At 45.3% G+C, this 24,666-nt stretch overlaps 1 protein-coding gene across 3 annotated transcripts in view, besides 2 other annotated features; it reads right to left on the bottom strand.

The window, feature by feature from the left end:
- Positions 1 to 24,666, bottom strand: part of SLCO3A1 (solute carrier organic anion transporter family member 3A1) — a 318,728-nt gene that overhangs the window by 4,839 nt on the left and 289,223 nt on the right. The window contains exons 8-11 of one of the 3 annotated variants that reach the window (NR_135775.2): positions 20,438 to 20,613; positions 16,583 to 16,647; positions 13,976 to 14,100; positions 12,278 to 12,404 (exon numbers count right to left, since the gene is read on the bottom strand). Coding sequence is in view for 2 of the 3 variants with exons in the window: in NM_013272.4 (NP_037404.2) it covers positions 4,462 to 4,841; positions 16,583 to 16,647; positions 20,438 to 20,613 (621 nt within the window). In the remaining variant the exon portion in view is untranslated. Of the gene's footprint in view, positions 1 to 1,693; positions 4,842 to 12,277; positions 12,405 to 13,975; positions 14,101 to 16,582; positions 16,648 to 20,437; positions 20,614 to 24,666 lie in introns of those variants that run through there. The other 2 variants (NM_001145044.1, NM_013272.4) reach the window with 2 other exon arrangements.
- Positions 2,201 to 2,958: an enhancer, noted in NCBI's record as "OCT4-NANOG-H3K27ac hESC enhancer chr15:92707869-92708626 (GRCh37/hg19 assembly coordinates)". NCBI's record gives its function as "activates a minimal SCP1, AML or CMV promoter by ChIP-STARR-seq in naive H9 embryonic stem cells {active_cell/tissue: H9 hESC(naive)}" and the evidence as "EXISTENCE:reporter gene assay evidence [ECO:0000049][PMID:30033119]".
- Positions 19,823 to 20,726: an enhancer, noted in NCBI's record as "H3K4me1 hESC enhancer chr15:92690101-92691004 (GRCh37/hg19 assembly coordinates)". NCBI's record gives its function as "activates a minimal SCP1, AML or CMV promoter by ChIP-STARR-seq in primed H9 embryonic stem cells {active_cell/tissue: H9 hESC(primed)}" and the evidence as "EXISTENCE:reporter gene assay evidence [ECO:0000049][PMID:30033119]".

The following is a 24,666-nucleotide window of genomic DNA, read 5'->3' as shown; positions in this document are numbered from 1 at the left end:
GGGGTCCAAAGTCTGTCACTTAGGGTGGTTTACTGTAAGGGATTACGTTCTTGCGGCTGTTGTGAGAGTAGCAGTTTGGAATAAGTCGGGCGGAGCAGGTGTAATAAAAAAGGAAGGAAGGTTAGAAAATGGATAAATACTATATTTGGGTCTTGAACTAATTTTCCAGGCCAAATTTAATTTCACTAGCACCCTCTCTTGGAAAAGTTGGCACCTCTTAGATATTTGAAGTGGATTCTAACCTAAGGGGGAACGGTCCCTAAAAGGAAACATGGATCATGGTTGAGAGGAGGTCAATCAGAGGAGAATGGCGTGAGCCCAGTGGAGCCAGCAGGCCCCTGCCATGTGTCTGGTACTTTCCTCTGGCTTCTGGCCAGATATGTGGTTCTCCCAAGCCATCAAGATAGTCAGGTAAGAATAGCACCAGGCAGCGGGAAGTATTCTCCATCTGTTAGACTGAAAAAACTGCATGGTTTCTTCCCTCATCTAAACCAAATCAAATAAAATATTCAAGCAACAATAAAATATAGCGTAACTCCGTCCAACTGCAACAGAAGCTCATCCTGTTTTTCTGGTCTTGACTGTATGATCAGATGCATTGACCTCTATGCACTGACCTTCATAGCTTGCCACTGCTGAGTAGGGCCTTTGGAGTTCCTAGCAGGGCTTAGAGCAGACTGCACAGGTCTGGCAGGCATGGCTGGGTGGAGAAGAAACCAGACTTCCTAGGACCGGAAGCAGCAGGCGGCAAGAAAACCAGCCCAGCAGGCACACGGGGACCCAGAAACTACTTTTCCTTGGAGGTTTTTCTATTTTAGTACATGTATCTATCTCCATTTTAAATGTTCCTCAGTGAATGACCTCCTCTGGAAGGTGTGAAAGAATATCCATTAGCAACCACAGGAGAATCTTTTTCCTGGGAAAATTCCTCAAGAGTGGTGTGACTACCATCCCAGGGACCAGCTGGTTGCCCTTGTGTGGAACGTTTCTGCAGGCTTTTTGACTGTAAGGGCTGGGAAGCCCTGCCATAGTGTGAGTGAGGGGAAGCTGGAGGGCAATTACTGGACACAGGGCAGTGGAATCGGGGGACTGGAATGTACAGATGACACTCAACCAATCTTTAAAAGTCAGCACTAGAGCGAGTTATTCCATGATCAGATGGTGAGAAGGAAGTGATTTTTATGGAGGGGCACGCTCCCTCCTGCTAGGAAGACGTTAGCAACCCTGTCAAATGATTCCTTAGGAGCTCCTGGCTTTCCAGTTATTATTTTGCCTGTTAAGTGTTCCTAGCAAGCTCCTCGGGGGGACCGTGAGAGGAGGCTGCTTCCACTCCTTCGCTAGCTGTGAGGAAAGCCCGCATGCCATGCTGTGGCCTTCTGGAGCCCTGTCCCCCAGGGTGCCTCAGAGCCAGCGTTCCCTGAGAGCACACAGCCTCAGCTGAGAGAAGACAGCAAACCCTGTCCCCTAGAGAGGCATTTTTGCAAAATGTGCTTACTTCATAGGAGGGAATGATATTGGTAGAAAAACAAAACAAAACAAAACAAAAAACAAAACAAAACCCAAACCTTCTTTGTCTCTACGTAGGAGTTACAAAGATCTGTCAATTTCAGCAGAGAGAGACTTTTCATCCACCCTGGGCATGTTCAGCTGAGATGGTGTAGGAGTTTGTAGCAGAAGAGAGAGAACTCTAGCATTCACTTTCTAGGTTTATTCCATCCCGTACATTTTTGTATTCTGTAAATCCAATGATCTTACCAGGAAATCTTTTCATTCACTTGAAACCAAACAGATAATCGAGGGGCTGGATCTAGTGTTGTATGTACAATGCTTCTTTAGAGCACAAAAGGCAAATTAAAACTAGACTGAGTTTTCTGTTCGGTACTATATGAGAATAATTAAAATTTTAAAAGACGACACAACAGAATTCAGAGCCATCCTGCAACAGCGGTCTTTAAATTTATACCCAATTGCTGATAAAACTCAGCCCTGGAGTTGTCTTCCTGTTATTCTAACATCTTTTTCACATTCATCCTAAAATCTTAGGAAAAAAAATCCAAAATGCAAAGAGTTTAAAAAACTTTCTTTTTTTTTTCTCTCAAAGCAAATAGTTCCATAAAACACTAGGTCAAAGGGCCTCAGTGTGTGTGTACTGAGTTTGAAGGGCCAAGCAATAATCTATAAGAGTGACCTATTAGCAATATATTTGCAAAACTAAACCAAAATCTGTACAGGATATTATCAAAGCCTTAGGAACAACAGAACATACATATTTTATGAAGTGGTTGGAGAACCATCTCCCCTTTAGTAGTTAACGTACTGATGAGTGTCCCCATTTTCATAAGCAAGGACATACTAACACTAAGCAGTTGAAAGGCCTGTCTCAGAAGCATCCTGCCCCAGGTAGCTGATCACGGTGGCCCCATACCACGACACAGCTTTTCTTTTGGTTGGTCTTGCTGAGTGCCTTCTCTAGATTTGGGCTGTCATTCAAGCCTCTTCATTTACAATGTTCATTAAAAATTCGGTACCATACCTGTCCCACTCCCAACCATTTTTTACTTCCTGATTCTTTTGTTTGCCTTGTGGGTAAAATGCAAATGTGTCCAAGGTGAAAAAGCAAACCAATCAACCTTTGAGTTTTTTTTCCAGCGCCAGGAATGTGACATGAACAAAGGTCACTGAAGCAGCATGAGGAGTAAGTTAGCAGGGCCCTTTGTTGTGTGTGTATGAGTGTGTGCCTTTACCTAAGCTCTGTCCCCTTACAGAAATGGCCGTAGAAGGCCTAGTGTGCTGGTTGCGAGAGGTTTTCCAACGTGATTCTTACCCCAAATCATAACAGGTTCATTCTCTGAGGTTCACCCACCTTCAAAACACACAGACAAGGGCCTTAGTTCAAGACTAACACTGAAAATGTCACAGACATTTTCACGCATTGGACACACGACAGCTTCCAGGAGCTTGTGGGTCTATTCGTTATCAGAGATGCTACAGACTTCTTAACAGCTTGTGTTAGGGAACTGTTCTTCTTTCCTATCCCCGGAAGTGTTGCACCCATACACACAAACCCACATCTAAGAGTGTCTCCTCCACAGGCTGAAAAGAACGCCTCTTGGAATGTCAAGCATGAATATAAAAGGGTTTCCCGTGACAGTGATCACTGAATCATGGGGAAGGAAGCTAAAAGGCAAATTTGCAATTCATCACATTATCCCCTGTTGTCTCAAATGTGATTCTTTTAAAGGCAGGCTGCATATACACTCTCTTTTTGAAGCATTTTTTTTTCTTCTTGTAACACATTGTATATTCTTGTTTTTGTAGAATATTCGAATGAGGATAAAATGATGAAAATTACAATAGGTTAATTGCATCCCTTGTATCACATATTTTTGGTGCATTAAAAAAGGAGAAAAAAAGTAAAAGCAACCAGCATAATAAATCCGGCCTAGAGAACTGTGTTAGTGACTTGAAGGGTTAACACAGATTTTAGAAGTAGTTAAAAATAGTATTAGAGGATTATACATACAACAGTTTGAAATTCATATGGATTGTATTTTTTTCTTTTAAAAATGGCAAAATGTTTTTGGCAAATGTAAGCAAATGACTTGGACTGCGTTGGGTCTCACCAGCTCTGAGCCGGGTCAGTCATAGCCAGGCGAGGCCTACTGCTTCCTGAGGTCACTCTGTGGGGCTGGGGGAAGGTGGATGCCCGCCACTGGGAGGTGCTGGCCCCCCACCTGGCTCCCCCTCAGGCCCTCAGTCTTGAACATGGAAATGGAGCTGGTGAGAGGTGCCAATTACAAACTCCAGCACGGATCACCCATTAGCATCACTGAGAGAACTCTGGGGCCTTGAACCACATGCAGACTGGGTGAGTCGTCTACACAGTGACCCATATTGCGAAAGTCAGAGAGAGGAGTGGTGCTTCCACCCCTCCGACTTGTGCGCCCGCCCCCACCCCCACCTGGAGGAAGAGGGTGGCACGGGGTGTGTCACTAGTGCTTAATCTGGCAATGTTTTCAACTTGTGGGTTTTTTTTTTTTAATTTTTTTTATTTTAGGAAACTTCTTTTAAAAAATGTTTTCTGTTTTGTATGTGTATGTGTATCCAGAAATGTCCATCCTCCAAGCTGGCCACCACTGTTCCCTGAATTTGGCAGTGCCTGTTGCTTGCAGCTGTCAGCATCCTGAAAACCATGAGGTGCCTTCAAAGTAGACTCTGTGGCCCAGCCGCGCAAGTGGCCTCCAGGACCCTGCCGCACGATGTCATTCTCTCCTTATTCTGAATCCTGTCTGGCTCTGATGCTGAGAAAAAGGACAAAGTCGGTGTGTCTGTCTGCGTGTGTGTGCATCTGTGCCTGTGTGTGTGTACTGAGTTTTGGTTTTTTTTGGAACCTTTTTTTCTTTTTTTAAGAAAAAAATGACCCTTGGATTACTAATACAGAGTTCAGCCCTCCTTTAGTCACTATAAAACGGACTCCATGTTTTCACACCACTCATGGTCTTCCAGGTTATAGATAAACTTTGTCCTATGTGTCTGGTTTGCGGGCACAGGGTCCCTCCCCAGGTTGTCTAGGGTCAGAGTAGAGGCAAAGAACTCACTGGTGCTCAGCCCGCCCTCGTGGTTTTTGATGTAGCGTTTATAGTTTTTCCTCAGGCACTGCCACGTGGTGGTGTACAGGATGAAGGCGAAGGATTTGAGCGCGATGGCGATGCTGACATACAGGTATCGGTAGACCACATTGTCGTAGAGGACGCAGGCGCCTTGCTCCCCACAGAACGTGCTCCAGAACAGGCAGGTGGAGTCGATGCCAGCCCCGAAGATGAGGGGTGGAGGGATGAAGCCTGTTACCGGGAAAAGAATGTTAAGGTTCTGGATCTGGTGGCCAGTGCTCCCCTGTTCCTGTCTCTGCCTAGCTTTTCTTATAGCACTGCTAGGCAAATATGTCTGACTCCGTGGCTCAAAGACATGCTCAGGAGGCAAAGCGCATGAGTTTGTGTCCCAGTTCTGCCTTTTTATTATGGTACAAATCTGAGCAAGTTATTTAAGCCCTCCTGCCTTAGTTTCCTCATCTGCAAAATGGGGATGATGATAATACTACAGTCTTCACCAGATGGCTGTGAAGACTAACTTTACACATAGAAAGCATCAGTCTGGCATGGTGGCTCACACCTGTAATTCCAGCACTTTGGGAGGCTGAAGCAGGTGGATCACCTGAGATCAGGAGTTTGAGACCAGCCTGGCCAACATGGTGAAACCCCGTCTCTACTAAAGAGACAACCTGGAATTTGCACTGTGGTACATGTTGGTGCACATCTGCAGTCCCAGCTACTTGGGAGACTGAGGCAGAAGAATTGCTTGAACCCAGGAGGCAGAGGTAGCAGTGAGCCAAGATCGTGCCACTGCACTTCAGCCTGGGCAACAAAGCAAGACTCCATCTCAAAAAAAAAAAAAAAAAAAAAAAAAGCATCTAGAACAGTGTGTACTGTGTCACTTTACCATGTAAAGTGAATGACAGCTGCTATTATCATCATCATCCTCTGCTGAGAGCCTGAGAAGGCCAAGACGGTCTTCCTTGAAGAGAAACATTCTTAGTTAGTGTCAGTGAAAGCAGCGTAGTCTCATAGAGGAAACTGCACAGCGCCGGCATACTGTGTGTGGTGTTCCATAGAGGAAACTGCAAAGCGCCGGCATACTGTGTGTGGTGTTCCACAGAGGAAACTGCAAAGCGCCGGCATACTGTGTGTGGTGTTCCACAGAGGAAACTGCAAAGCGCCGGCATACTGTGTGTGGTGTTCTACAGAGGAAACTGCAAAGCGCCGGCATACTGTGTGTGGTGTTCTACAGAGGAAACTGCAAAGCGCCGGCATACTGTGTGTGGTGTTCTTCTGTTTGAGGCTTTTAGGGCTGTTGTGCTCTTGAGTGCAGGCACCACAAATTGGACTTGAGTACATCTGTGTGTATACACATATAGTTTAAATGGAAAATATCTGCATATATACTGACAACTTCGCTTCCCCTGGATATTTAATATTCCCAGCTCAGAATGAGTTGGTAACCAGTTTTGAAACCCTCACGGTAGAGCATTTCCGGTACCTACAACCAGTCACCAAAAATGGCAGATGAGATGAAAACCGTTCCCCTTCCTTACTTCCGTTCCCTGTTCCTCTCTGTGTTTCTTTGCCTGCTGTTATCCGAGTTATCAGACCTGGCTGCCCATGACAATCATCATCCAGGGTGTCCCATCCCAGACCACTGAAATCAGAGCATTTGGTGTGCAGCACAGTCCTCAGCACCTTCACATTCCCAGGTGATTCTGAGTGAAGGGGGAGAGTGTCATCTGTACTATGGGAAAGTGACAGATGAGTCACTAATGCAAATTAACTGTTCAAAAAAACTGTCCCCTTGAGGCCAGAATAAAGTGCCAACCATCTTCAGTGACAGACTGCAGGAGGAGGAAGTGATCTCTGGAACTAGGTGTGGCCAACTCTGAGATCCCAGGGCCTCTATACCTCTGTCTGGAGTGTTCCTTGCAGAGCTAGTCCTAGAGCATCTGAATTTCATTTTGTATTAAGGAAGGTCCCTCTGAGATTTTGATGAGATCTAGACCCATAGCCCAGCAAAATGCACCTACCCATAAAATCAAACCTGTATCTCAGGGGGTTCATAGGCCCCTGAAGTCCATCCATGATTGCTGGAATAACAGCATGTGCATTATAAGCACAGCAGCACCTCCATTCTGTGGGGCCTCCAAAGGCAGTTGGGGAGAGAGGGAAGGCTTAATGAAGGAAGCAGCCCTTCCCCCGGTTTTAATGACATGCCTGGAATCGGGTGAGAGCGGGGCTTTGCTACCCTATGAGTGCTAATGAGCTTGGCAGAGCTCCAGGCTCTCGGCCCAGGTGCCTCTGTACTTCTCCTTGGAACTCTTCACCTCCGCTGCTTGATACCCCAAAGAGAAGCCCCGGAGAAGATTTCTGGTTGAAATCTCATTAAACTTCCCAAGCAGCTCGATTTAATAAATAAGCTCCAAGCTCAAAATCCCACACAACCTGTTTCCTTCTTTCCAGCTGCCAGGTTGGGCTGTGGTCCTGCCGAATGGAAGCGCATATTCGTAGCATTCCCTGTGATCCCAAAGGCTGCCCAGGTGTCTCAGCCCTTCCCCACCAACCCTGTGTGTTTTCCCTGCCCCCTAACAAGTGCCTTTTTTCATTTCACTCCAGTTGAAAGAGCCAACTGGAGGAACTGCCATGGCAACCGCATAATAGAAACTAAGCCACACACCACGTTATTTATGTAAAAAATGAAGATCTGGAGCCAGTGTGTATTACAGATGGACCTAGAGATAAATGGAACTAATGTGGCCTGTTTCTGTGGCACAGCAGGGCAAAGCAAATCCATTCACCTTTCTATCTCTGCACGGGGCATAATCATTATATTGTGATTAGCTCCCAAATGCTCCTCCCTCCTTGTGACCTTTCTTGAGGTCATTTCACTTTGTTCTAGCCACCCAACACCTGGTGACGGGGAGCCAAGGTTAGAGAGGACACCTCTAGTAAATGCTTTGCTGCTGGAAGGAACTGAGGGTACAGGTGTCCCTTGCTCTATAATGCATGGATACTTGCATACAAATTCCAGGTCGGTGCAAACCAGGTCATATTTTAAGCACATCAAAGGAAATTTGCAACATAAAGGAACCAAATTCGTTAATAATTGTTAAAACCAAAATATCCCCCCAAAATACCACTGTGCAACTCATTCATGTACCTGAGTGAGAATTCTTATAATACTTGGTTGTCTTCTAAGTAGGGCATACTGCTATGTGATAAATATGCCAATTATATCTTGCCTATTGTCAAGCTCCACTACCAGATGACAAAACCTCTAAACAACAATTTGAAAGCTAAGTACTCAGGAGGCCGATGGGAGGATCACTTGACCCCAGGAGTTCCAGGCTGCAGTGAGCCATGATCACGCCACTGCATTCCAGGCTAGGAGACAGAATGGGATCCTATCTCCAAAAAAAAAAAAAAAACCTACCAAAGTTTTTCATGCTATGCTCTGTTCAATATTTCAGAGTGCATTTGTGGTAGAGATGAAATAAATTTTTTTTTTTTTTGAGACAGAGTTTCGTTCTGTGGCCAGGCTGGAGTGCAGTGGCATGATCTCGGCTCACTACAACCTCCGCCTCCTGGGCTCAAGTGATTTTCCTGCCTCAGTCTCCCAAGTAGCTGGGACTACAGGTGCCTGCCACCACGCCCGGCTAATTTTTGTATTTTTAGTAGAGACGGGGTTTCACTATGTTGGCCAGGATGGTCTCGATCTCTTGACCTTGTGATCTGCCTGCCTCAGCCTCCCAAAGTGCTGGGATTACAGGCGTGAGCCACCGCACCCAGCTGAGATGAAAGAACTTTTAAGGTGCCAAAAGTCCTGGAGAAAGTCACTTGATCTTTCAATGTCTGTTTCTTCATCTTTAAAATGGAGTTAATACCACCCTGCCTGGTAAGGGCTAAGGTAAACACTACACAAATGAGGTGTGTGTGTGAGTGTTTCGCCAAGGGTCTGATCTTGCCATGCAACCAGAACTTTTGCCACCTTATTCATGTTAGATAGGGGATTTGGGGTGGTATTTTAGAATAAACTCTAGGTTGAGTACCTTAAGTATAACCTTTGTGAGATTCCTTTTATACTTCTGAATAGTGAAAATATTGGCTTTCTTTTCCATCAAATTCATCTTTTCCTTTTTATTCACTTAAAATTCTTTCCCAAAGGGGAGGTCTAGCTATCAGGCCCTAAACTGCAGGTGTGCGGACAATACCAGAGACGAACGGACTGCATCTTTTTTGTTAGAGGCCTCTGCCATTCTGGAACTCACCTGATGAGTCACAGAAGGGAGTTCCACCTTGGTGACTCATTTTCACGCCCAGCCCCACATCCTTATATGTTCGTCACTCAGTTGGACCAAACAAAAACTCAGGCAGTCCCTGCAAGGAGCTGGTTCCCCATAGACAAATGGGAGACTGTGACAGTGTGACTGGCAACTGTCATGCTAAGTAGTATCATTAACTACCCCCTACCCAGGACTGTATAGAGTGCTCCACATCCATTATGCGTCCCCTCCATAACCACTCCCCCTGCCCCACCTTATTTCACATACAAATAAACTGAGAGTGAGATTATTTGTTCCAGGTTTGATATTTCAAAATTCCAAACCCAATAATCTCCTTCCTTCTAATTCAGACTTTGTTGATTTGAGAAGACTTTAGAGCTCTTATTGGGGATTTCCAGGGATACAGAGAACATTTTATTTACCCTTTTGCTAAGCTCCTGGCGTAACTGGCTTGAAGAAGCCTGGTTTTGAAGTGTGCAGAGGGTGAAACACACAGGGGGTTTGATCTTTGCAAAGCGGGCAGCCCTTCCTTCTCTGGGGTTGCTAATACATAGAGAAGGCTGGGAGACTTATTTTGTAAACAAACTCAGTATTTCGCTGGACACCTGAGGCAGTAATAGCAGATACTATGCTTGTCAGCAGGAAGAGACACGGAGTTGTCATCGTGGTAGGCTTTGATGTGAACTCAGACAGGGAGTTCACATCTGGAGTTTTGGTGACTGGGAGGAAATGCAAATTTGTGAACCAGAGACAGCTGATCTTGGATTCTAATTCCGCCACTTGGGAACTGTGTGATTCACACAACTTGAGTGAATCTCAGTTTCACTGTTTATACAATGGGCACGATCATACCTTCAGGCAGAGCTTTTGTAAAGAATCAATGGGATGCCATTTGAGAAAGCCCTCACAGGGTGGGCGCTCCAAAAATCTGGTTCCCTTGCTGCTGTTTGGCTTTTGTTCCGTGTTCAGGAACTCTTTTGGGTAAATGAAAATCCGTCCTAAGTTCACCACCTCTAGAGAAAGAGTTGTAGAAAACCTTTCAAGCTGTGATTCAGTGAATAATAACCCCCACTGGCAAGAATTCTGTACATGTACCCGGGAGGCTGAGGCAGGAGAATCGCTTGAACCTGGGAGGCAGAGATTGCAGTGAGCCAAGATCACACTATTGCACTCCATCCTGCGTGACAGACTGAGACTGGTCTCAAAAAAAAAAAAAAAAATTTCTCCACATCATCATAAGTTTTAGAGGATAATCAGGTGTGTCCAGAAGGGAGGACAAGGGGGGGGGCCAGGTGTACTTTAGTGTCCTCTCTGGTTTTGAGCACCTTCACTCTGTTAAGTCCTTAGTTACAAGGGAGCTTGATGATGGTGGTGTATTTCTTTAGTAACTGTGTCTTTTGAAGAAATGCTGTCTTCCCCAAAGCCTGCAAGAGCAGTTCTCTCTCTTTTTTTTATCTTGTCTTCTCCCTAGGTCCTCTGGGCAGGAACTTGTGGATGAAGCAGGTGTTAATAGGGTTCCATCACTGGGGCACTGGGAACCCACCCTGTGCTGAGGAAGGTATGTGCAGGCTCAATGCTGTTGCCCGCTATTAGAGGGAATATTAAAAGGACTGAATCTTACTATTACACTCTGGCTTAAATTGCAGCTATATATATTTCAATGCATAACTTGCTGCACAGTTTAAGAACACTGTCTCTGTTTTCCTGAAATCTATTAACAGAGATTAAACCTCAGGGCCTTATATATTGGCTATTTAATTTACTCTCTTAGTTGAAATGGCTGGGCCTATTTATATTCCTTGGTCTAAACTTAAAAGGTGAACTGAAAGGCTTTTGTAAGAAAAATAAGTTCAAATTCCTTTACGGGACAAAATGGAAGCTGAAAATTACGGCCACTTACATTTAAAAAGATATCTGTTTCTCTCTGGCTTACCTGCCAAGACTTGAATTCACCATGGAATCTCTATTCAACCTGGTGGAATTACTGTTATGTCCAGCACCAGCTAGAAAGGGAGATGCTGAAAAGTGTATTCTCCTGGAAGGTTTAATGAGTTCTCTGCTTCAGCAATGCCAAGAAAGAATCTGGGCTGTTTTCCAGTGATACCTGACATTTACTTTTCTTAAACTGGAGAGTCTGCAGGAGCTACTATGTTCTCCTTTCATTCCTGGACCCCTTGTTAAAGTTGGTAAGGCCCAGAGAGCTTAAATAATCTGCCACATGGTCAGGAAAGGCAGAGCTAGGCTCAAGAGCAGGTGTGACTGACTTTAGAGGGCCCATGGTAAATACTGGATGTCATCTCAGTACAGGTAAGGGTGGCAGATCATGGGTGGTGCAGGTACATCAGGAGGTGAGGTCCACTGCTGACAGAGCCAGGGCACATGGCTGGCGCCTAACATATGTTCGCCGAATGAACAATTAAAAGTGTAGGCAAGTGGAAGGGGTCTTCCATGCATCCCACCGCCGTATCTCACTCCCTCTCATCTCTCACCTGGGGCCCCTGGGCATGCTGTGCTTGCTTCTTCCAAAGCAGCACTTAACACGTTCATTTTTCCACTTGCCTATAAACTTTGGCATATGCAAGACGATGCTCACAGCAGGAACTCAACAAATGTCTGACAAGCCACAGCAGGAGTGTCTAGGATGTACTTTTCCAGAGTAGTTCACAAATCACCCCAGACCAAGGACAATCTGCTCAGGAATGACCCCTGCCTACAGAAATGCACCCCGAGGGCCTTCCCTATGCTTTTGGCTAGGCGGGCAGGCTGGAAAATTAAGAGGCAGGGTCAGTGTATGTGGGGAGTTTGTAGTGGTATTGTGGAAGCTAAGCTCATCCCTAATGACACCCTGAGACACTTGATCTATTGTTTCTTATTCTATTAAAGGCTTCTCCATAGCCTCAGTCCCAGGGGCTCCAAACCTCAGCCTCATCTTGAGCTTTCATTGCTTCTCTTTTGCTTTCACTTAGGTCGGTTGGGTTGGGGGGATCTCAATAGATGCTGTCTCTTATGTGGCTCCCATCTGTCTTTACCGTTCAAACCCACTGCTTTGCTGGTGGTCAGCTTCTCACTTCAATGCTTTTGATGGGTTATCCTGCATCCTGCTAAACCTCATGCCCTGCTCACCTGCTGCTCTACCTAAAGCAGAATTCTGAATGTACATTCACTCTCCCATCTGAAACCCCCATTTGCTCCACACTGGCAACTACTCAGCCAAGTATAATTTCTCCCTTTGAAAATCAAGGCCCTCTGTAACTCTTCCAACCCCACACCTTCCCCACACTTGCTTTGTTCTCCTACTGCAGCCGCCAGAGGCAGGATATTGGCACCTACTTATCTGTGCACCCTGAGCAGCCCCTAGACAGCACCTTGGATGTGGAAGAGTCTCAGCACATGTATGTTTCCAATAATTTAATTTGGTGTAACGCCCTGGCAAGCAGTGGCCCCAGGAACAAGATTCTAGACCAACTCAGGAGCAGAGAGTTTGCCCACAGCCTGGAGAGAAAAGGAGTAGCCAAGACACCTGCAGAAGAATAAAGGAGGATGGACTCAATTATACCAGGAATTCTGCTATGAGTAGATCGTTCAGTTTACTCTGAATTCACTGACCCTTCTCCAGCTCAGTGTCTTCCTCCCCTACTCAACAACATAAACTTGTCCATGTGAGCCTTTCATTAACTCACTCTCAACATCCACGCTCTTGACCCCTGTCCCTCTCTGGCCAGCAACACCCTGGGCTTTGTCATTGGTCAGAACTGCTCCACTTCCATAATCTCGAAGTCAGACAATGAGGCTTTGGCCACATCCTCCAGTTCTTTTTCCATTATTTATTACAACTAGTTTTTACAGTTCCTGTATCTTTGTCCTCTCTCCTTTCTCCCATCTCAGCCCTACTTTGATCATCACCCTCAGCTTCTTTGGCTCCACTCTCCTGCCACACTCCTGCTTCTACTCCAGGGTGCTGGGGCCACTCCCAGAGCCCCACTGACCAGTACACCTCTGCAGCCCTGCCCTGGCCCTTTCTACCAACTCCTTGCTCTTGGTGGGTAAAGCAACAAGGGAGACCGATCTCACATTCATTTCTAGCTCCTGCCCTCTTCACTTACACCCAAGTGTCTGGAAAGAGGGTCTTCCTGTTCCCCTATCCCATTTCCTCACTCTGACCCATGAGGGTGGTGCATCAAAGATGGCCCCCTCATTGTCCAGTATGGCAGACACTGGCCACATCCACCTACTTATGTGAAAACTAATAAAATTAAAGTAGGCTACAGAAGCCACATTTCAAGTGTGCAACAGCACCTGTGGTACAGACAGAGAACATTTCCATCATCACAGAACGTTCCACTGGAGAGCGCTGGTCTACACCACTCCCAACTTGCTCTACATCCTTTCTTCCTGTCTCATAAATAATTCCCCTGTTCACCACATTACCCAAGACTTTCTTAGGAGTGGGCACTGTGGGTGCCCCTTTCTAAGACTCCAGTTCTTATGCTTCCACTTGGAGAATAATGCATAATGCAGATTCCTCCTTTTATTTCTCAACCCTACCCCTCTCCCCATCCTGCGAGCACCATCTCGGCACGAGCCTCTGTCATTCACTTCATTACAGCAGCAACTTCTTCAGCCATGTTCTTATTCTCCACATGGCAGACAAGCCCTTTCTAAAATACACAGTGGATCTTGTCACTCTCTGGTTAAAGCCCATCAACAACTTTCATTTGCTTCCCAGGTTCAAGGGATTCTTCTGCCTCACCCTCCCAAGATAAAGGTCAAATGCAGCAACAGGGCAGAAGCCCTTCCTGACCAAGTTCCTGATCCACTACCCTCTCCAGCTCCATCTTCTTCTGTCCCCCCTTTCCCCCCAGTCTGGGCCTTCTGCAGCCCCCAAACATGCTGGGACCTTTGTTCATCCCCGGGCTTTTACCCCGTAAGTCCTTCTCCCTGCTCATCTGTATGACTCTTACTCCTTCCCCAGGGCTGAGCATAGACATCACATCCTTTCCAAACCCACTGCTCCCATCCCAAGGCAAGATTAGGAGGCCCTTCTACATATTCCTGTTGCACCTGTGCCAACTCGAATCTTGTCACACTAACCTGTGATGTCCCCATTGTATCCCCATTGCCCTTGCTAGGCCAGCAAAAAAGTTGATGATGTCACAGGATCTGATGTCTTTGCCGGCCTTCACATTAACAATAATGGTGGTTAATCTTACTGGGTCCTGCAAGAAAGGGAATTAGGCCAAATGCTAAGACTTCTTCAATGAGCTGCTTTCAACTGAAAGATGAAGCTGTGTCATAGTCTTCTAGAGCAGGGTTTTCCAGCCTCTAATTGGAGACTCATAAGGGGCAATAAAATCAATAGGGTGGGTCACAACCAACTTTTTTAAAAGCATGTAATAGACTAGAATAGAAAATGTCAGAATGTGTCATACCTATTACAGTGAGTATTTTTTCATGATTTTTTTTTTTTGTTTGTTTCAGCTGTATCTAGGCATAGGCATGTGCGTACTGGGCCATAATGCAAAACTTGTCATCTCTTGCTCTAGATTACAGTTGCAGAAGTTGAAAAACACTATTCTAGGTAATACCTGGTTGATTATTCCTGGGGCAGACATACAGATATTGAAACTGCTTTACAGCAGTGTATGATGATTTTAACAGTATCATATGCCTCATAATGTTCACTTTTGCTTTCAACTATCCTACAATTTTCATTAACTTTTCAGAAATACCTTGCAAATTGTTTTTCATCTTGTGCTATCAAAAAAATGTTCTGCCAGTTGCATTGAGTCCTTAGTATCTGTCTAGAGGTGCAGAGATCTCCATAGCAACTCCACAGATGAGGAGGGTGGGCTCTTACCTTCCCTGGCCAGCCCCAGAGGACTCGTAATGGCAGAGCTGAGGTCACTTACCTGGGGATGGTTCATGGCTTAGAACACAATAGGTTTTCAATAAACATTAGCTTCTTGAACAAATGCATATGTGGAATGGCTTTACCATTTGCAAAAATTAGGGTGTCAATGTGCCAGTTAATATTACACATCCACCTATCGATCCACCCCACACTGCAGTGAGAGCAGGGGTAAAATATATGCAGACTGCACCCTCCCACTGATAGGAAAAAATCAGCACGATCATAACTCTGCCTTGGTATTTCTGCATGCTACTACAGCTTCCCAGGAAGGCCCAAATGCTTTACTTTGAATTAGCGCTGAACTTGTTTTAATTGGGGCATCTTCACACCTAGAGCACTTCTCTTTTCCATGACTTAGACTTAGGACAATGCCATTTGAGTTCCCATGTATATACCAAGGAACATGGATTGATAGTGGTTGAGAGCATTCTGAGGTCTTCTACCAGGCACAGAGGGAATGATCACAGATTGATAGAAAGTTTTTGCTATAGACGGAGAAGGAAGGTGAGGAGAGACATATGCTATGTATTTGCCATTCCCCAGGGAGGACCTTAATGGATCTAAAGGTTAATATTTTTCTTTCATATATCGGTATATAAAAACTAATCTCATAAAAGTAACAGACATTTCATTCAAAACTTTAAAACAAATTTAGAAAATATAACCTTATTACTCAAAGATAATAGCTGATACTCTTCTGATAAAATGGAAAAATATTGCAAAAGTTATTACATTACAGACCTGTTTTTCCCCTTCCCCCATCACATGCCCTTTCTAAGTCTATATTTTTCTTTCCAGAATTTTAAAGGGGAACATAAATCCTACTGCGATTATAGACCATAACTGATTTAACTAATTGTCTGCTGTTGGGCTTTTGGGTTGCTGCCAATTTTCCACTTTTACAAACATTTCTATAGCTAGGTATTTGTGCTTATCCACGATTATATACGTGGAATGAGGAATTTTATTTCTACTCTAAAAATACAGGTCATGGTTGTTTTCCTTTCTACATTCAGATGCCACTTAAAGTCCACTGGGGAAGGTGACTGTCCTATTATTCAAGGAAAAAAGTTATCTTGATCTTGGCCTTAACAAAAGAATGCTCATAAAGCAACGGTGTGGTATGGCAAGAGAAAGGTAGGCATAGCTGGGAACCAGGCCCAGCGTCAGCCCAGCCAGTGCCCAGGAAGGACCTTGGGTGGTGAACCATGGACTATCTCATCTTCCTTTTGCCTATCTTAAAAACAAGAGGGTCAGACTTTCTTCCTTCTTTCCATACCAAATCTGGAAACGTGGGCCCTATAGCATGAAGGTCACATTTGCCCCATCCCAGAAATTCAAGGTAAACAAACTAAGTCAGTTTGGAAAAATTTAAAGGATGCAAAGTTTCCATTTTCAAGGCATTGTGAGAACGCCTCTCTCTCCCAGCTGGCGGCCCCATAAATGAAGCATTTCACAAGCTGCTCATGGCTTGCTTAATGAAGATGCCAAATTACACCACCAGATTTTTTTCCCCTTTGGTGCCATCTCTTTTCCTCCTTATGCCGATGAGAATTCACGGTGGCGTGAAGATAAGAGTTGGTATAAATGAGAACTTCGTGATATCGAGGCAGTGTCTGAGTTTATCTCTGACCAAAATTTTGAGACTTAAAATTTCTTATTTACTAATAATTAAACTGCAAAGAAAAAAGAGACAGACCTAGGAAATGGGATAATTTGACTGACAGTTACTCACCTAGTAATAAGCATCCAATTCATTATTGAGGAAATAAAGAGATAATACATACCCAACAAACGAAGGAGGAGAAAAAGAACTCCCAAAGCGTAAGACTTGAGTTCAGGGCTGACTGTCCTACGTGCAAAGAGATGAAGAGAAAAAAAAAACCAGATTTTTATCATTCCCCTGTAATTAACAGACCCCAGAGTCATTTGCTGCTGTCCATCAGAGCTCTTCTTTAGAAAATTACTAATAGTGTCTTTTTTAAAATTACTAATAGTGTCTTTTTTTTTTTCTGCCTAAAGTCTGAAAAATAACTGCAACTGTGGTGCCAAGATAAGTTTAGGAATTTAACAGTGTTTTTTAATAACTGGAGCTAACCTTGTCATTCGAAGGACAGAATGCAAATTTGGTCATAAAACCTGCGTTTAAAGACATGTTGGTTTTGCTGAGATCAGGAAGCATCTTAAGTGGGTGGGGTACACGTATGGGGGGGAAAACATCAACCGAGAAAATAATTCCCCTTATCCTTCACAAACAAGCTGAAACCATGAGCACCTTTACCATTCTCCAGTCATTTTGTGAAATCCACCAGATTAGCATGGTTAGACACCCTGGATGGACCATTTGGGAAATAATCCACTTAGCATGTTCCAGCACTGTGATGGTTAATATTGAGTGGCAACTTGATTGAAGGATGCAAAGTATTGATCCTGGGTGTGTCTGTGAGGGTGTTGCCACAGGAGATTAACATTTGAGTGAGTCAGTGGGGTGGGAAAGGCAGACCCAGCCTCAATCTGGGTGGGCACCATCTAATTAGCTGCCAGCACAGCTAGAATATAAAGCAGGCAGAAAAACATGAAAAGACCAGATGGGCCTAGCCTTCCAACCTACATCTTTCTCCCTTGCTGGACCCCTTCTGCCCTCGAACATTGGACTCCTAGTTCTTCAGTTTGGGACCCAGACAGTACAGGTAAGTCATCCCAGGGCAGCAGGTCATGACTTTCATTGAGCGATGGGGACGTGACTCTGGCTGGTTGAGTTAGACACCAGTACAACATCCATGATGAGTCCAGTGCCTCTGGACAGAAACACAGTCAGCACCCTTTAGAACGTGCACGTTACAAAATCCAAGTTCTTCAAAGCTATTATCAGCTCCATGTCTCCGGTTTTTGCACTTTCATTTGAAAGCACTGACTTGAAAGACAGACACATAAATAGAGACAAATTCTCCTTATCAAGAAAGCACACTGGTATAATGAGTTAGAATATTTATCACCTGAAATTTGATTTCCTTTCAGCTATCATATGTCACTAGGAACAAAGTGAGCAAGGTGCTAAGATCTCCCTTCATATCCTGTTGGGAAATTGCTTCCTATGAGAAGAAGAATCCTTCTTGGCTTGAGTCATGAAGAAACGGGGAGGGCTCCGTGTGAACACTATTGAAAGCTCTGGACAACGCTGGGAGGGAGTCTTAGTTCTAAAGGTACTAGCTGGGTGACCTTGAGAACACTGCCTAATTTCTCTCGGAGCCCAGCGTGGGGCCTAAGAGGGGCTGGGCATCAGCTTTCAACCTCGCTTCCAGATGTTCTGAGCACTGTTGTTGGGATGGTCCTGTTTGGCATGACAGTGGGTCCATTCTTCTGGGAGGGGCAAGGGCTGGTGCACATCTGTGCCCCTGTGCCAGCCTGAGACATCTGTGATGGCAAATCAGACTAGGAAGGTGATGGAATAAAACTGTGTCTTGGACCTCTCAATATGCACAATGCATAGCATGCGCTTCCAGCACAGCGTGGAGTTACAAGCCTAGGTCATTTAGGCCATCTGTGGCTGATTAATTTAGAGGGAATCAAATATTTCCAGCAAAGCTCCAAGAGCTGTTTATCAAGCTGAGATCTGGAAGTGATTAAGAATTTCAACAAACTTTCCATGTTTGGTAGTCACCACTAGTCAGCGTCTAGAGGCTGGGTTTTTGCAGAGGAGTCGTGGGGCAAGCTAATAAGAGACTAGTCATTTTTCATGCTTCTCCAATGCCTTTAGTGTATGAATATCACAATATAACTTCACGAAAACGTCTAATAATGAAAAATAAACTACTCATAAGGCAGCCACCTAAAACCTATACATGAGATCTGATGGGTTTTGTCCAAATGCATATTATAATCATCTTCTCTAAATAGTTTTAAATTCAATAGTTCATTTCATAAACACTTTCACATTCTTAAGAATTTTCATTATTCCATGGAGCTGCAGTGCCATAATTTAACTCACTATTCCAATTCAGGTTTTTCTGCTATTATAGTTAACGTTGTAATAAAAATTTGTCTGCATTGAGCTCTTTCTTTTTTTCTTCTTGTAAAGGAGTACTTTTTTAAGATAAATGGCAAGGGGTAGGGTTACTGAATAAAAGGGTCTGAATATTTGTATGGCTCTTGACGCACACTGTCATATTGCTTTTTTGAAAGGAGTGATAGCCTTTTCCCATGCCACCAGCAATTTGTGATTTTGTCAGTTTTGCCACAGCCTTGCAAGCACTGGGTGTCAATTTTTAAAATTTATTTTTCAAACTTAGTAAGTATAAAATGGTAATTTGCTATTATACCCTAATGCTCTGCACATTCGCAAGGCCTTGCTAATGACGTTCTAGGTAACATTAGTACTTGTAAAAATCCTCTTCCTTGGGAATTCATAATAAAGATGAGGAAATGTGGTTGGCAAAGTGAGAGAGAAGCTGGATAAAGTAGAGGTGAGGTGCATGGACACTGGGTACTTCCATGCGTTTCATTCCTACTTTTATTTCCAGCCTTTGCTATTGAATCTGTTCACTTGGATAACTGCATCCCAATTAGGCAAGTCTGTCTTTTCTCCCCTCTGAGACAGAGTCTTGCTCTGTCAGTCACCCAGGCTGGAGTGCGGTGGTATGACCTCAGCTCACTGCAACTTCCGCCTCCTGGGTCTAAGCAATTCTCCTGCCTCAGCCTCCCAAGTGGCTGGGATTACAAGCATGTGCCAACACGCCCTGCTACTTTTTGTAGAGAAGAGGTTTCTCCATGTTGGCTAGGCTGGTCTCAAACCCCTGGGCTCAAGCGATCCTCCAGCCTTGGCCTCCCAAAGTGCTGGGATTACAGGCATGAGCCACCATGCCCAGCTGATGAGTCTTTGTGTAGAGTACCTTCCCCTGATTCAGATGAATGGCAGCCTATGTGTTAGTTCACTTCTGGGTTTCCAACACAAATCTAGGTAACTCTGCAAATGATAAAAGTTACTCAGAATATTACTAATGGCTCATCTTTCTTTGAGGCACTTCACCTATCCCCAGGACAGGTCCCCAGAGACAGGTAACAATAGAATTTCGGTTGGCTCTCTCCAGCAACCTCTTTGTACAAGAATGGTCACTGCTCACCTGCCGTGAGCCCTGCTGCACAATAACCCGTCAAGTCTCTATGTGTTTGCACACACATGGTCTCAGTGGGTCCTGCTCCACTGCAGGAGGCAGGCAGGATGGGTCATATCACCCCCAGTTACAGATTCAGGAGCAAGTCTAGGGGGAAAATGCCCACGGTCATATGGCTAAGCAGTGGCAGGGTGGTGGGGGCTGGGCACTGACGCCACTTTCATTTTCCTCCAACGAGGCTGCGTCCTGTAAGGCTCAATGCAGGATCCTTTTCAAAACTGCCTGCAGGCTCTATTTCTGGGAGAACATGAAAGTGCTGTCTTCTCCCCCATGCCCTGCCTTCTTCTCTTGGTGGGAGGTCCCTATCAAACATAATTGATTCCTATCAGCCTAGAGAAGCTGCGCTCCTTGCTGTGGCCCTAGCTCACCTGGTTCGAGAGATTCCTGTTGTCTGAAGCTCTGGTCCCTAGGAGGCCTGCAGATGAACACCAGGTGGAAAGGAGGAGAGGCGGGGCTGTGCCGAGGGCTTACCTGATGAGGATGATGACTGAGGGTGTCTGTGCCATGGCACCGATCAGGCTGCAGATACACATCACACAGAGGAAAGTGAGGAAGGCCTCTTGGCACCCAGGACTGGGGCATTTTCCAGGAACCACGGTTGCGTTCTCAGCAGGGACGGTGGTGAGGCACGCACAGCCCGTGAGATTCTGAAAGGGAAGCGTTCAGCCCTTTTATCTGGGGGTACTTCCGGTTTCCAAAGGCAAAGCCATCCATCAGCTGAATCTGTCACAGCCTAATTACACATTCTGTGGCATTCCATTAATTAGGCCTGAATAAACGAGTTAGTTAGCTTTTTTAAGGAGGCTGCAAAACACACATAAATAAAGGAATATTTACGGGGAGGAGAGCTGATTTCTCTGTCTCTTGTGTGTTTCATTTCCATTCTCAAGAATCCCTCAGTAAGCTGAACCACAGATAAATGTGTCCCCCCCAATACAATTAGAGAGGAAATTGCGCTTCCACAATATGATAAAACGTTGCCAAATTAACATTGTAATTACTTGCCAATTTGTCCTCTCTTTTATGCAGTTATAATTACACTGAAGTGTATTAAAAGAAGTAAATCAGGTAACCCGCATATTGTTGCTGGTGGAGTGCCCAACACGGCACTTGGAACAAAGGCTGCACGCTGTCACGCGTGAAGTCACCGCGTCTGCAAGGCTGGGCGAGGGACAGCTGATGGAAAGTTCTCTGGAGGCTGAGGAAGCAAAGGGGGCTAAGAGATGCAGGAGCTTGGAGCAGCTCGTGGGGAGCAGAGCTAAAACCCAACAAGATAGATACATTTATTAATATATGATCAGAGAGAAGAAAGAAAAGTGACTGCATTTCATTTGATCTTCGGGGTGGATTCTAGCCCAGCTGCCTGTTGCAGACAGGGTCCTCTCCCCCACTCACTCCAGGAATTTCTGATGGCAAAGGGAGGAGCAGGGGCTGGGAGAGGCAGTGCCCGGTGCCAAGCCAATTAAGGTTCCATAATAATAGTGCAGAGGCCTTTAATGAATACAAAGTGAAAACAATCATAAATGATTCATTGCTTTTCCTTCCAGGACTGCTTGGCTTTCAGAGCACATGCCCAGGTAAATCCTCCTGAGGGTCAAATAAATCCCCTCTGGCTTTTACAGTTCTCCTCCTCTGGTCCTCCCCCTCTCCCCACAGAACACAGAGATAGGGTTTTCTGATCCCACTAAGCTATATGGGATGGTTTCAGGGGTGTCTGAAAGTGTTCATGTGCCCCAAACCCAACAGGGTCAGTCTGTATCGCTGTGCCCCCAACAGGGGCTTTTATTCATGGGGGAAGGAATGGGGGCAGACGTACGCTGGGGCTCCACCCTTCCCCTCAGTGTCTGCCCAGAGCAGGTGCCTTTGTGAAAATGGTTCAGTTAGGGTACCCAGGGGCATTTATTGTAATTCCCAGAAGATCCCGAGGCCCCGCCCCTCTGTTCCTTCTCATGTACCTCTGCCTAGAGACTTTTTAGCTCTTTGTCAAAACCCAGCTCAGATACTGCCTCCCTTCTCAGAACCTCACCTCACTGGGCACATCCCAGCCTCCTTCCAAGTCCTGCAGGGCCCTTTTCAAGGGTCGCTCCACCCTACAGCAGAGACCTTTACATGCCTCCTGGAGGAGACAAGAACCTCGGGACAAGACCTATGTCTTTTGCATTCTTTCCCTAGCATCTTTTCCTAGCGCAGAGCTGAGACGTAGATGAAACTAAGCATACAGCTTTAGAATACACATGAGAACGAACCTTCCTCACTTTTATTAGGAAGCAAGACTTCTCCCCAACTTTCACTTAAAATGCCACTCCTCCTCTTCCCAGGAGAGGAAACTGCCCACTCCTCCCCAGCATCACAGCCAAACTTTTCTAGCTATTTAGCTCACCACCTGCATTTCCTTTTCTCCCACGCTCTCAGCTGACTCTGACTGGCTTCTGTTTCCACACGCATGAATCCGGTGGGGCTAAGCTCTTCAGTGGGCTCCATATCCCAGGCCCACCATGCATTTTTCTCTCCCCGGAGCTCCCAGGAGCACAGGCCCCTTGCTCACTACTCATCACTCCCTTGTTTGGCTTCAAAGCTCCACTCTACCTGTTTCCCTGGTCCTCCTCTGGTCACTCGCTTTCCATCTTTGTTGCTGGTACCTTCTCCTCTTTCCCACCTGCTCTGGACTTTCTTCATCTGTACTCTTGCCCCAGCTCTCCTTCCTTCATTTTACCATCTCTGCATTTGATCACATCTCTCCCAAATTTAATCATCTTTAGCCCAGATCCTTCCCAAGACTCATGAGCACGGGTGAGGCATCAAAACTGCCTCCAGGAACGAGTGCCGGTGCTGGCTTCTGTGCTTTCAGCTTGGCACTACTGTCCCGCCTAAGGCTGGAAAGTATCTCCCCCGAATTCGCTTTCCTGCAAGGACGGGAGCTGGACAAGAAGGAAACCTGGGAGAGACTCAGAAGGCAGGAGTTGTAGGACACCAGCATATGCCACCTTGCGGTATGCCCCTTTTGCATAAAGAATATTTTGAGCTGATTATTTTGAGAAACCACAGACACAGGCAGAACCTCTGACAACAGAAGTTACCGTTGCGTAAGGAAAATTACATTTACAAAGGAAATCTCCATTTGTAAGGGTGGTTCCTCTCTGTACCAGAGATAAAGGAATGACTGAATCCCTAGAGACTATCATCAATCTAGAAGACACTGACTTAAGCTTGCATAACAAATGTTACTCTTTTTTAAGGTGCTTTATCTGGGCATCTCCTCATAACTGGCCTTCCCCACACCCTTCTTTCTCTGTTTCCCTGGACCATGGTATTCAAGCCTGAAGTCAAAGCCACGTCTCTGAGATGCTCTCATTTCTCTGGCTATCTCCTGTGTATACATCATGTATATGTGTTTCTAAACCTTTGTTTTCCTCCTGTTAATCTGTCTTAGGTTACAGGGGTCTGTCCCAACTGGGAACTGTGAAGGGTAAAGAGAAAATTATGTATTCCTCTTCTACAAAGGGAAGCTGAGGCCATTTCTCCCAGAAGGTCACACGGTCAGGCATAAGGACGGACACACAGACGCGCCCGGAAGGCGCCGACCTGTCCCAGCACTCCCGACTTGGCGCCGCCTTCTTTTCTGCCTACCCTGCTGACCAGTGGAGGCGCCATGCCCACCTCTGGTGACCTGGCTGCTGCAGGCCACGTGGCTCCCCACATCGCAGAGTGCCCATCAGATCTCCTGAGCAGCCATGCCGCACAGCTTCCTGGGATGTTCCCCTGAGCTCTGACTCACCCACCTGTGCCAGGGGCGTCTAGTGAGGAAATGCTGCTTTGCTTCTTCCTCTTACTTCAAAACACTGTTTTCCTGACAGTTACGCAGCCCCAGCCCCAGCTCCAGCTCCAAACTCCTTTCCCTCCACCTCTTGCCTTAGTAACGGCACCCTATTGACTATAAAAGTAATGACAAAAACCACAATTTTGCACCAACTTAACAAAAACCAGGAGGTAATTCTGAATCCCCCGCTCACATACCTACATCAAATCCATCTTCCCCCTGACACTAAAGCTAATGAAGACAGAGACCACTGTGGCCGTATTCCCTAATTTACCCAGCCATCCAGGACAGGGCTTGGCTCACAAGTGGGATTTTATATACATATATATAATATATATATATATTTATATATATTATATATATTATATATATATTATATATATTATATATATATAATATATATATTATATATATTATATAATATATATATTATATATATTATATAATATATATATGTATGTTGACTGAGTGAACACCTAAGTTCTGTTCATTTTGCCATGTCCTAAATCTGTCTCAAACCCTGCCCTAGTTCAAACTACTTGCAACCATCCATCTTTGATTACTGCAGTGGTCTGTGAGGAAAAAGATTTGGGACTGAAGTTCTTAGAACCATATGGACTCAAAGAGTAGTTAGGCGTAAATGAAAAATGGGCCCCTTGTGGGTGGCTGTGGTCTTGTTTGGCTAAGTACCCCAGGAATCCCTCAATTCCAGTACCCCCATATCACATTCCTGAGTGTTCCTGAGAGGCTACATACTTGTAGCACGCAGTCTCTCAGGAATGTGATATGGGCACTGGAGTTGAGTGACTGACGCCAGAACCCTCTGAATGAGCCATGTGATCGGTGAGCTTTCTTTGGTTTAACAAGTCATCTGCAATTGCTG

This window comes from Homo sapiens, chromosome 15 (assembly GCF_000001405.40).
Source record: "Homo sapiens chromosome 15, GRCh38.p14 Primary Assembly".
NCBI classification, from domain to species: Eukaryota; Metazoa; Chordata; class Mammalia; order Primates; family Hominidae; genus Homo; species Homo sapiens.
The sequence above is the reverse complement of the archived record's forward strand: the minus strand, read 5'-3'. Positions and strand labels throughout refer to the sequence as shown.